The 13,329-nt window shown below is 49.1% G+C and overlaps 1 protein-coding gene across 4 annotated transcripts in view; it reads right to left on the reverse strand.

The window, feature by feature from the left end:
* ADAMTS2 (ADAM metallopeptidase with thrombospondin type 1 motif 2) overlaps nucleotides 1-13,329 on the reverse strand; it is a 234,609-nt gene that overhangs the window by 27,490 nt on the left and 193,790 nt on the right. For 3 of the 4 annotated variants that reach the window (NM_014244.5, XM_047417895.1, XM_047417896.1), the window contains one exon: nucleotides 1,548-1,693. In NM_014244.5, the coding sequence (NP_055059.2) occupies nucleotides 1,548-1,693 (146 nt within the window). Of the gene's footprint in view, nucleotides 1-1,547; nucleotides 1,694-12,332; nucleotides 12,859-13,329 lie in introns of those variants that run through there. The other variant, NM_021599.4, reaches the window with a different exon arrangement.

Consider the following 13,329-nt stretch of genomic DNA (forward strand, 5'->3'; position numbering starts at 1 on the left):
GTGAGTCTCCTCTGCAGCTGGCCCTGGGCACCGAGCCTAGCACAGAAAGAGGCATGCTGAGGCCCCAGAGTCCCGGTGCTGCAGTTCTCAGCAAGTGTCTTGGCACAAAGCAGACGCATCACGGCCGCTGGGTTTTCTCCCTGTGGAGAAGGCGGGCTGCGTTTCTGCAACGTCTTCGCTTCACTGGGAACAGCACCAACCCACACACTGCCTCTTGAGGTTCTAAATGCCCAGCAATCTCTTTCCGAGTCTGGCGTAAAAGCCCCAGGGGTGCTTGAGGAGGGGCCACGGGGCTCCCTGTCTGCTTCTGGCCGGGAGGGCAGCCTGGAGCCTGGGGCAGGAGGACAGCAGGGGTAGGAGAGGGATCCATGCACGAGCGTGTTCACACGTGCTGCTGAGGGAGGCTGTCCCACTGCGGGATCCCTCCGCGGAGCCGTGACTGCGGGTCCTCTCTGGCTCCGCAGGGTCCAGCTCGGGCCTGGCCAGAGCAAGGAGAGCAGCCCGAGTGAACAGGACCCAGGAGCGGCCGCAGAGGCCGGAGCGCAGCAGCCGGGACGCACCCGGAGCCCTGCCCGCCAGCTGGTAACTGGGCCCGGCTGTGCATCTGTGATGCCCAATTTGGAGGCTGGAAATCTGTTTTGTTTGTTTTTCTAATGTGAAATTACAGATTGTCAATATTTTCAGGCAAATCAAAATCTTTAAAATACCAGACAGGCCAAAAAGGAAAGACCGAAGCTCTGTGTGTCTAAGCAGCTGCAGGGCCTGCGGCGTAAGAGCCCGCTGCGCAGGTGGGAGACGGGGGTAACGCTGATGTTTGTGGAGGGTTCTCCCTCCATGCCAGCCCCCCCGGGACACTCCCTGGGTGAGGCCAGGGTGAGCGTTCAGGCAGGAGGAGACAGGCAGTGGAGGAGGGAGAGGAGGGTGTGGATGAGAAAGTGGCTGCGGGCTGAGGAGGGAGCACGGGCCCGGGAGATATTTACGGGGTGTGTGGGGGTGAGGTGGGAGGAATGAGAAGGGGCAGGAGGACAGCACAGGGCATGGGGCCTGCGTGGCGGGTGGGGCTGAGGTATAGCTGAGCATGGGGATGCAGCTGGCATGGGCCGGCTCTACAGGTTGTCCCTCCCCTGGGCAGCCAGACACTGATGACAAATCCCGACCCTGCCCTCACCTGGCTGCAAACAGCTGCCCAGGTGCTAGCATCGGGGGGGCTGAGAGACCACCCCCGCTTACCCCCATTTCCCCAGCTCGGTCCTCCCTCCTCTCCTCCATGCCCGTGGCCAGGAGAGACAGAGTAAATCTGTCTAGAGTGGGCTGCAGGCAGGTGGGCTGTGGGCCCCGGCCAGGGGAAGGGGTAAGAGGCAGAGCTAAGCGTCCCCTGAGCCGTCACCCCCTCCCAGGTAGGGTGAGGCAGGCGGGGCAGCCTGCCCTGCACCTCTCCAGAACTGGTGTGCAGCCACAGGGCCCTCCAGGACAGGGCTGGCTGGAGAGGGTCTCCTGGACCCTCAGCTGCCACTCAGCAAGGCCAGGGGGACATGGGGCCAACTCACTGTGGGTTGTCACACTGGCGGGTCCTGAACTTCACGCCCGTGCCACAGGTACGTGAGCAGGAGCCAAACGGACTCCAAGCGCCCCAGCTGCCGTCCCGTTTGAGGATGTCAGGTGTCAGCCAGATGCAGTGTCCTTTAAAACAATGCTGAAAGACAGGAAGCCAGTCCCTCCACTCACCCTCACACCGGGCCGTGGGGACAGTCCTGCGCTCTGCAGCCTGCAGTGTCTGGGACACGTCCTGGCCCCACTCTGGGGCACAGGGGGAGCTCACCCTCCTCGCCCCTAGATGCTCAGAGCCCCCAGAAGACAGGCCTCATTGGCCAGAGGCAATAAGAGGCACAGTGAGGGGCTGGCCTGCCCTGCCTCCCGCTTGCTGACCCACCCTCCTGCCTTCTAGCAGCTCTGTGTCCCCTCAGCTGGAAGCTGCACCACATGACGCCGCCAGGATAGATGCCTCCTGGGTGCCCACACACAGCCCATTTATAAAGATACCACTGGCCTATCAGGCCAGTGACTGCAAGACATACAAGGTTTATTTAAGCAAAAAAGGCAATTTAGAGGAAATACTATGGAAAAAAGGGACAAGTAATATGCTGACATGGTAAAAACCAGGAATAAAGTCCAATGCTGGCATGTAGGAAAAATGATTCCACATCTTAATCTGATCACAGTGCTCTCATTCCTCTAGGGGGAGGAAGCGTCTACAGTTTAGGGGACCCACTTTAAGAAGAAGATTGCAAAATTAAAGAATTAAATTAGGTGCAAAATGGGTTATTGACTTGAAATGAGAAAATACATCACACAAAAACGTTTTAAAACTGACAATGACCAAACAACCAAAAAACAGAGAACAAGGACTTCTAATACATTGACTGACAGAACTTTTCCTTCAGTTCCGACTGCATGCTCTTTTTTTTTTTTTTTTTTTGAGACAGAGTCTCACTCTGTCCCCCCAGGTTGGAGTGCAGTGACGATCTTGGCTCACTGCAACCTCCGCCTCCTGGGTTCAAGCGATTCTCTTGCCTCAGCCTCCCGAGTAGCTGGGATTACAGGTGTCCACCACCACCCCCAGCTAATTTTTGCATTTTTTTTTTTTTTATTTTTAGTAGACACAGGGTTTTGCCATGTTGGCCAGGCTGGTCTCGAACTCCTGACCTCAGGTGATCCACCTGCCTCAGCCTTCCAAAGTGCTAGGATTACAGGCGTGAGCCACCGCGCCCGGCCGACTGCATACTCTTTAACCCTTCTTTGTATGACCTAATTTTGTAGCACTGTTTCCACAAAGAGAACAGAAAGAGAACGCAGCCATTCCTTGGCAAACTCTTCTCAGCAAACCATTCCTCAGCAAATTCTTTCTGTAAAAGGGCCAGAGAGTAACTATTGTAGACTTTGCAGGCTATATAATCTCTGTTGCAATTAATCAATTCTGCCATCAGAGCTTGAAAGCAGCTATAGACAACCTATAAATGAATGGACATGGCTGTGTTCCTTATTGGAACTTTATTTTGTAAACTTTATTTACAAAAACAGGCAGCAAACAGAAACTTTGAATGGAAGTGTAAGGAGGTTGGTGAACCCTCTCCCCAGTAACTGACGAAAATTAGTTTTTAAAAAGCAGCCATTTAAAGTCTCTGGAAATTGTCCTAAGGTCTAAACAACAAATGAAGAAGCTTTTTTTTTTTCTCAAGAAAATCTATTAAATCTTGGTAAGAAAAGCAAAAGTCTATGGCATTGGAGCCACAGCCCTCCCCCATTCCTGCCCTAGCTCAGTGTGACAGAAGCTTTACTGCCAAGAAGACGGGGCTGCCTCTACTCCAAGCTCCCGGTCTGAGGCTACAGTTTCATACTGAGAAACCCAGGCCACTGGTGTCATCCCTCTCAACTCTGTTGCAGAGTCTCTCTCTGGTGGGATGGCCAAGAGGCCTGGGGCCCCCTTCCCCCACCCAGGCCCCACTCATAGGGCACAAGCTCTGCTCCAGGTACACCAGGCCAAGAATGGTGGACCTGATAGCCCCTCCCCAGATTGCTTATAGGGTAGAGGTTCCATGTTGAAAGGGGCAAGCCCAGAAGACTAGTGGCTACCATTCCCATCTAGTGAGCAGTCTGTAGGCCAGGAATGTCACTCTGGGAGAAGCAGGCCACTGACCCTGCTCCTTTAGCTCTGGCTCAGTGGTGCAGGGGCCTGCCCAGAGGGAGAGTCAGAACAGAAGGCTTCACAGCTCTCCCTAAGGGGACTGACTTTGATCTGAAACAGAGCGTGGAGGATGTTCATGTCTAAGGGCACTGTCAAAAACAACAAGGGTCTTAGCAGTGAGCAATTAAGAGGAGGCCAATGGTCCTAATAGCAACAAACAAAATGTTAAACCAGCTACAGGTTGAGTGTCCCTTATCTGAAATGCTCGGAACCAGAAGCGTTTGGAACCAGAAGTGTTTCGGATTTCAGATTTTCAGATTAAGGATGCTCAACCTGTAGAAGTTAAACAGACAGAACCAGGGACAAAGACAGCTAAGAGCCCTCCTGAAGGTCTCAATACACCTCAGATACTGGCAACACCCTGCCCCTGTGAAAGGTCTAGAATTTAATTAGGTCATATTGTAGAGCAAGCTATATACCCCAGGACACTGTCAAAAACAATACAGCAATCAATCGCACTAGCTGTTAGTAGCAGCTAGCAGTTAGTGAAGGCTAACAGTTGGGTGTGATAGCAATACAGGCAGAATGACCAGAAGCTTAATGGAAAGATCTGGGAAAGAGATAGTCAAAGAGCCTGGCTAATGCCACTACCCCAGGGCATTAGGGGCAGGGGTGCAGTCAGGGTGACTGCATATGACCAAGGCTGTGACCTCTGGGGAGCAATATCAGTGGCTGCACACTGCAGGGGACATAAGCTTCATTGAAACAGCAGGACCAGGGCACTAAAATCAACAAGCAAACAGTAGCAGCAAGGCCCAGGGGATCATTATCCAGTTTCTTCAATGTATTATCTAAAGTTTCCAGTTTTCAAGGAAACTTTCTGAGCCATGAAAAGAAACAGGAAAGTGTGACCCATACGCAGGAAATGAAGCAGGTGACAGAAACTACCACTGAGGAGGCCCAGATGTCTGACTCAGCAGACAAAGATTTCAAAGCAGCTATAAGTAATGTGTTTAAAGAACAAAAGGAAATCATGTCTAAAGAACTAAAGGAGAGTACAGGAATGACGTGTCACCAAATGGAGAATCTCAGTAAAGAGATAGAAATTATAAAAAGAACTGAATAGAGGCTGAGTGCAATGGCTCACACCTGTAGTCCCAGCACTTTGGGAGGCCGAGGGGGGCAGATCACCTGAGGTCAGGAGTTCTGGACCAGCCTGGCCAACATGGTGAAACCCTGTCTCTATTAAAAATACAAAAATTAGCCAGGCATGGTGGTACAACCTGTGATTCCCAGCTACTCGGAGGCTGAGACAGGAGAATCTCTTGAACCCGGGAGGTGGAGGTTGCAGTGAGCTGAGATCGCGCCACTGCGCTCCAGGCTGGGTAACAGAGACTCTGTCTCGAAAAAAAAAAAAAAAAAAGAAGAACTAAATAGAAATTCTGGAGTTGAATGGTACAAAAACTTAAAAGATAAACTAATTAGCTGGCTCAGTGGTAGATTTGAGCTGGCAGCAGATGCAATCAGTGAACTTGAACATAGACAGTTTTAAGAGGTGGGGCCTTAAGGAGATCCTTAGGCCATGAGGTCATCCTGGATGGGATTGGGGGCCTTATAAAAGCGCCAGAGGGAGCTAGCGAGGTCCCTTTTTGCCCTTTCGTCCCTGCTGACGTGAGGACAAATAGCCATTAAGCACACGAAAAGCAACGGAATAGATTTGTGTGTGTGTGTGACAAGGAGCTTTTTGAAGTCAGTCATTTTTCTTGATTTCATCGCCCATTTTTTATTACTTTAGTTCCATATTCCATTAATTTTTATCTGAATTTTCTTTCCTTTAACAAATATATTTGAAAATAATAAAAGAAGGTACTTTTTACACATATATTCCAATCAGAGTCTGTCATTTCTCCCTTATTTTATCAAAACATTCTGGAACCACTTTCAAAATGGCAGTTAAAACAGTATATTATCTTTATTTTCAGACAAAATGATCTTCTGTATAGAAAATCCCAAAGAATCCCCTACAAAACTTAAAGCTAACAAACAAATTAACTGAGGTTTCAGGAAACAAGACCAATATACAAAAAAATCAACTGCATTTCTATAAACTAGTAATAAATGATTTAAAAATGAAATTAAGAAAATAACTCCATTTACAATAGCACCAAAAAGAAAAAAAGAACCTTAGTAATAAATTGAACAAAAGGAATGCAAAACGTGTCCACTAAAAATTACAATACATCATTGAAAGAAGTTCAAGTTCTAAGTAAATGGAAAGACATCTCAATGTTCATTGATCAGTGTTAAAATGGAAATACTTTCACACTGATCTACAGGTTCAACATAATTCCTATCAAAATGCAGACTAGAATTTTGCAAAGTTGAGAAGCTGCTCCTAAAATTCATATGGAAAGTCACAGGATGTAGAATAGCCAAAATAATATTGAAAAAAGAGCAAAGTGGGAAGACACTTCACCATTTCGAAGCTTACTATTAAACTACAGTAATCAAGACAGTGTATCCCTGGCATAAGGACAGACAAATATACCGACGGAATAGAACAAAAGCCTAGAACTAAACCTTTACATTTGATAAGTTAAACTTTGACAATTCAATGGAAAAGGAATAGTCTCTTCAACGAATGGTTCTGAGACAACTGGATATTCACATGCAAAAGAATGACGTTGGACATCTTCCTCACACTTACACAAAAATTAACTCAAAAATGGATCACAGATGTCAATGTAAGAGCTGAAACTCTGAGAATAAAACATAGGAGTAAATCTTCTTGACCTAAGTAATGGTTTCTCAAATACAACACCAAAAGCACAGGTGATAAAAGTAAAAATAGATAAATTAGACTTCATCAAAATTAAACACTTTTGCACCTCAATGATGCCATCACGAAAGTGAAAAGACAACCCACAGAATGGGAGGAAATATTTGCAGACCACTTACACTGGTGAGTGTGATAACAGACTTGTATCCAGAATAAATAAAAAACTCTTAGGATTCAATAATAAAAATATAAATAACTCCATGAAAAAATAAGCAAAGGATCTAAATAGACATTTATACAAAAAATATATACAAATTGCCATTAAGCACATGAAAAGACGGTCATCATAGGTCACTAGGGAAATACAAATCAAAACCCCAATGAGATATATCACTTCACATGCACTAGGATTGGTATAACAAATAAAATAACAAGTTTTGGGGAGGATATGGAGAAATCTGAAGCATCATTGCCAGTTGGAATGTAAAACAGGCTGCTTTGGGAAACTGGCAGTTCCTCAAAATGTCAAACATGGAGTTACCATAAAATCCAATGATTCCATTTCTAGGTGTACATCCAAGAAAAACGACCCATGCACGCAATACTTTGTACACGAATGTTTGTGCGGTATTTCCCATCATTACCGAAAGGTGGAAACAACCCAAATGTCCATCAACTAATAAATGATGAATACCCACACAGTGGATTAGTATTCAGCAACAGGAAGGAATGCAGGGCTGCTGCACACTACAACAGGGATGAGCCCTGTGAACATTATGCCAAGTGAAAGACGCCAGGCGCAAAATGTCCCATGTTGTATGATTCCATTGATATGAAATGTCCAGAATTGGAAAATCGATAAAGACAGCAAGAGGATGAGTGGCTACGAGTGGCTATCTGGAGTTGGGCGAGAGTAGGATGGATTGAGGTGACTACTAAAGGGTTTGGAACTTTTCAGAGTGACAAAAATGTTCCAGCGCTTGTTTGTTGTGATGGCTGTAAAACTCTATGAATACACTGAAAATCACTGAATTGTACACTCTCTTTTACTTATTTATTTATTTTTGAGACGAAGTTTCGCTCTTGTTGTCCCGGCTGGAGCGAAGTGGCGAGATCTCGGCTCACCGCAACCTCTGCTTCCCGGGTTCAAGTGATTCTCCTGCTTCAGCCTCCTGAGTAGTTGGGATTATAGGTGCCCACCACAAGGCCCAGCTAATTTTTTTGTATTTTTAGCAGAGACAGGGTTTCACCATGTTGGCCAGGCTGGTCTCAAACTCCTGACCTCAGGTGATCCTCCTGCCTCAGCCTCCCAAACTGCTGGGATTACAGGCATGAGCCACTGCACCCGGCCTGTACACTTTAAAAAGTGAATTTAAATATAGATCTCACCTTATTAAAGCTGTTAGGGAAAAAAACCAATACCAACCAAACAGGCAGCAGATGGAGTTGGCCAGCACTTGGCCCTGGCATATTGAGGGAAATTCTTTCTTTTTAAAAAATGATCAGTACTTTAAAGAAGTTATGGGTGACGCCATCTGAACATTTAGGATGATGACATTTGGAGGAGGTGCTCTCTGGTTTCCGTCCTTGATGTGGTTTTCAGGGCATTTCAAGTTTTCTCTGTGGGAGCTTGACTTTAAGACACTCTTTGGATGAGCAACGCTCAGTAGCAGTTGCCGTGGACGCCCTGACTGCAGTGGCAGCGTTCGCAGCTCCCTGGCGTCTTTGATGTTGTCAACATTTCATGGCAAATCAGAAAGATGTCTGAACCATTTTCCTATGTGTTCATCAGATTCACTCCTCTTCGTTAATGAGACTGTCAAACGCTCCAAGGCCTGTTAACTTCTTTGATATGTGTCTCTTCCTCCTAATGAGCAACTGCTTTTGGTTTGATATAAAACCTTTCTTTTTTGGTGACAATGAGCTTTTTGAAGTCAGAGTTATTATTTTTTTTATTTCCTTGCTCATTTTCTACTACTTTAGTTTCATATCCCATTAATTTTTATCTGAATTTTCTTTCCTTTCTAATAAATAAATTAGAAAATGATAAAAGGTATATTTGATACATATATCCAAATCACAGTCTGTCATTTCTTCCTTATTTTATGGAAACATTCCCAAGCCACTTTCAAAACGGAAGTGAAAACAGTGCCTTCAGACGTAACCAACATTTCTGCATCTCGCTTTCATTGCGGTTTCTCTTCTGTCTTTGAAATTTTTTAGAGCCCTTCATTTATTGTCATCCATATGTTGTGAGGCTAGGCTAACTTTTATTTATTTATGTTTTATTTATTTATCGTTTTGAGATGGAGTCTCACTCTGTCGTCCAGGCTGGAGTGCAGTGGCATGATCTTGACTCACTGCAAGCTCCACCTCCCGGGTTCAAGTGATTCTCCTGCCTCAGCCTCCCCAGTAGCTAGGACTATAGGCATGCGCCACCATGCCTGGCTAATTTTTGTATTTTTAGTAGAGATGGGGTTTCACCATGTTGGCCAGGCTGGTCTCGAACTCCTGATCTCAAGTAATCCGCCCACCTCGGCCTCCCAAAGTGTCGGGATTACAGGTGTGAGCCATCACACCTGGCCTAAGCCAGCTTTTGAACAAGCAGACCATCTTGTTACACTTGGCCTTTCTAAAGAAATATCCATGTTGGATCTGTGTTTAAAGTACTCCATCTATAAAACAAACCTAAAAATCAAACAAAATACTGCCCATATAGAAGTAGTGACAACCTCCGGTACCGCTGAGGCACCTTTTTCTGCAAAGATCTGAGGGAAATGGCCAGCACACAGCCTGTATTCTGCAATGACCCTAGATGAGTTGGCACAGCGGTGTGGCGAGTATTTCTGGAAGCTACTATTACACCTGGACAGACACAATCATTTAACTCTACTTGTAAGAGACAGAATCATGGCAATAAGCCAAAACAAATGCCCTCAATCCATTTTCTCTGTAGCCAAAGCAGCAAAATGCCCAAGGCCATTCTAATGGCACCCACAGGAGGGGAAGTGTATCAGTGGCACCCACGGGAGGAGAATTGTATCAATGAGAAGCAGGAATGAAAAGAGAAGTGCTGTTAATCAAGTATGGTTAAAATATCTTATTTTTGCAAAATTTACAAAAATGTGACCATGTAAACACATGGCTTGGCCTCTCCCAGGGTCTCGGAAGGGGCTCCTGTGAGCAAGGGACCCCAAAGCGTAAGCATCATGAGCTTCATGGTAAATCGACTTCTGCTTCCCTCCCAAAGCCCCTCCATGGCTCCCCACTCGCAGCAGGACAAGCCCTGTGGCTGGCATCAAAGACTCGGTACGACTGGCCTCTACTTACGCCTCAGGGTCACCTTCCCCCAGCACAGCAGCACTGCAGCGCTGGCGGCTCTGAACAGACCGCACTCCCTTCCCTCCCTGCCCCTGTGCACGCCTCCATCTCCTCAACACACGCCTGGCACAGCAGACCCTGTGCTGTGCCACCCAGATCCCTCTTCAGGACCAAGTCGTTTATTCCTCAAGCTGTGGAGCATGTGGGCTGCTCATGGCTCACAGCTGAGTTCTTCTCCAGGAACAGCCCCCAGGAACAGTCCCCTTTCCTGCAGACAGCCATAGCCAGTGACTGGTCAGGGTTGCGGTTCAAACGTTGCTTCAATTGGGCCAACTCTGAAAGGCTCCAGAGCTGCACGTGGCGCTGGCCGAGCCCTCTGCTGAGGTCGCATCCCTGTGCAGTGCCTCACTCTCCCCACGGTGCTGGCCCTGAAAGTGCGCCCTGGAATTCCTGCCACCAGGTCTCTGTGTCTGAGGTCATTGCTGGGGAGCCGTCCTCCTGTGTCCATGCCTGAGCTGCTCCCCTCCCGTGCTTCCTTCCTGGTCCTCCTCGCTCGGGCAAGCCCCACCTAGCGCCCACCTGTGCCCACATCTCCCCTTCCTTCCTAGCAAAGGCCCCTCATTCTCATGCCTTGCTAAAACCCTCCCAGACCTGCCTTTGTGGCAGTCTGAGCCACGTGGGGACTGCAGAGGCCGCCACTCTGGATTCTCCCTCCCAGACGGAGGGGGGTACTGTGGGCAGGTGGTCAAGGGCTCCTCCCATCAGGCTGGGCCAACAGGAACTGGCTGGGGCCAGGCAGGCCTGGCTCCCGGCCCCTGGGGGGTCCTAGCCATCTCTTTCCTGGCACCATTACCTCATCTCTTGCCCCCAAAGCTCCCCTCACTCGAGCATGGAGGGGAGGGGAACAACCCAGAGAAATGCTGGCTGGCGTTCCCCTCAGCCAGTGGCGCAGGTGGGGTTGCAGGCGAGGAGGGGCCCAGGTAAGGCAGTGCTGTGGCCTGAGTGCGTGTGTCCCCTCAAATTCATATGGTGAAGCCCTAACCCCCAGTGTGGGGGCCTTCGGGAAGCGTTAGGTGATGGCCCTCATGAGTGGGACTGATGTCCTCATGAGAAGAGACCTGAGAGAGATGCCCTCTCTCCCTGCCATGTGAGGAGACCACAGGAAGATGGCAAGCCAGGAAGAGGGTCCTCCCAGAAGCCAACCTTGCTGGCACCCTGACCTTGGGCTTCCCAGCCTCCAGGACTGCGAAGAACAAGGCTCTGTTGTGTAAGCCACCCAGTCTGCGGTATTTCTGTTAGAGCAGCCGAAGCTGAGGAAGATGGAGTGTGAGCTGTCCTGGCACCGTGGAAGGCTGCGGCCGGGGCAGACTCTAAGTCACTGGTGGCCGCAGGAACCAGGAGCCAGGAGGATGGAAGGAGCCACGCAGTGGTCCTCCTGTCCCAACTGGGCAAGACGGTGCCTAACCTGGAAATGGAAGCTGGGCATGACCACTCAGGGTCCTTGCGGGAAAGGGTGGGAGAGAAGATGATTGCTTTCCAGATGTAAAATCACAGCGTGAGAGAACAGTGATGCACAGGACAGGGAAACATACAGACCCACATTCAGGGATTCTGACAGCAGCCCGGGAGGAGCCCGTCTTCCACGTTCCCCCAACATCCCCACACCGAATCCTGATCTAGGTCGGTTCCAGCCTGTGCTCCTCGGGAACCAGGGGAGGCTGAGCAGAGCCCCAGCTCTGCCCCTCAGTCAGCACAACTATCTTTAATACATAAAAGGCAATTTCACTTACTGGGCTAAATGCAGAGGATCCTACCACCAAAATGAGTGAAGGGCTGCGGCCAGGTGGGTGGTCTCTGTGAGGTGGGGACACTTCGGTTGCATCTGCTCACTGTCCTTACCAGACCTCCCTCTGCCCCACTTCTACCTTGCAGGAAAAGCAGGGGGCAATCAGCTGGGGTGCAGGCCAGCCACACACACACATATGGGGGCCCCACCAGCTCCTGCTCCTGCTCCTGCTCCCTGAACCAGCATGCCTGTGCAGGGCCTGCCTCCCATTCCCTCTGCCTCCTCCCTGCCTGGGGTGGGTGCGGCGGGCGGGGAGCCATGCTTAGCTGGCCTTGTTCTCCAACTCAGCTTTTCCGAAGCTCCCCCTGGGGCCACGGCAGATGTTCTGCCCCGCTCCTTCTGCTGAGGGCCTGTGGGAAGGGGAATAGCTGGGTGGTTCTGGCCTCACTGGGCCCCCAGCAACTTACCAACAACTCACTTCGGACTTCTAACCCTTCATTAAGTCTGGGCACATCTTAAAAACACCAATTCCCAGGTCTTCGAACAAAACCTTATACACAAATGTTCACAGCGGCGTGACTCACGACGGCCAAAAGGTGGAAACCAACCAAATGTCCCTCCGTGGAGAAACGGATACACCAAATGTGGCACACCCACACGACGGGAGGTTATTCAGCGATCGAGAGAAATGGAATGTGGATAGATGCCACACAGGATGGCCCTTGGAAACATTCTGCTGAATGAAGTGAGTCAGACACAAAAGGCCACATATATATGATTCCATTTATATGAAATTCCGGAATAGGCAACTCTATAGAGACAGAAAGCAGGTTGGTGCTAGCCAGGGGATGGGGCGAGGAGGGAGGGGAGAGGTGACTGATAAATGGCGCTTCCTTTTTGCAGGGATGAAAAGCTCTGGGACCGGGTAGTGGCGATGGTTGCCCAATATTGCAAATGTACTAAATGCCACCGAATGGTGCACTTCACTTTTATTTTTATTTTTTGAGACAGGGTCTTGCTGTGTGATCCAGACTGGAGAGCAGCGACGCGATCTTGGCTCACCGCAACCTCCGCCTCCTGGGCTCAAACGATTTTCATGCCTCAGCCTCCGGAGTAGCTGGGATTACAGGCACCCACCACCGCGCCCAGCTAATTTTTGTATTTTTAGTAGAGACGGGATTTTGCCATGTTAACCAGACTTGTCTTGAACTTCTGACCTCAGGCGATCCACCTACCTTGGCCTCCCAAAGTGCTGGGATAACAGGCATGAGCCACCGCGCCCGGCCTGAACTGTGTAAAGTGGTTCAGATAGTGAATTTTGTGAGAATTTTTACCATAGTTTAAAAAAGAACACCAAAAACAATTATTGGATCCTACCCCAAACAAAAGTCTTCAAGGATGGGCCTGGGAATTTGTTTCTTTCAGAAGCTCCGCCAGAGACTAAAATTAGGCAGCTGGCCCAGTCCCGAGCCAAAGACTTCCATCAAGGAGCCACAGGTCCATACAGTTTGGGGGCGTCCTAGGCCTGGCTGGGATGTGCACCGGTGTCCACTCCCTACTCCCTGCCCCCACTGCAGGGCCAAGGTGGTCTCAGTGGGGCTGAGCCTTCCTGGGTGGGGATCCAGGCTTAGCTCATCTGCATATGCCAGCCCCCTAGCAAGTAACTGGCTGAGGAGTGGGTGTGTGATTTCATCTGAACAAATGAGAATCAGGTCTGGAGTTCTGGGAGGACAACAGGGAAGAAGTCCTTCTTTCAAGAGT

This window comes from Homo sapiens, chromosome 5 (assembly GCF_000001405.40).
Source record: "Homo sapiens chromosome 5, GRCh38.p14 Primary Assembly".
In the NCBI taxonomy this organism is placed as follows: domain Eukaryota; kingdom Metazoa; phylum Chordata; class Mammalia; order Primates; family Hominidae; genus Homo; species Homo sapiens.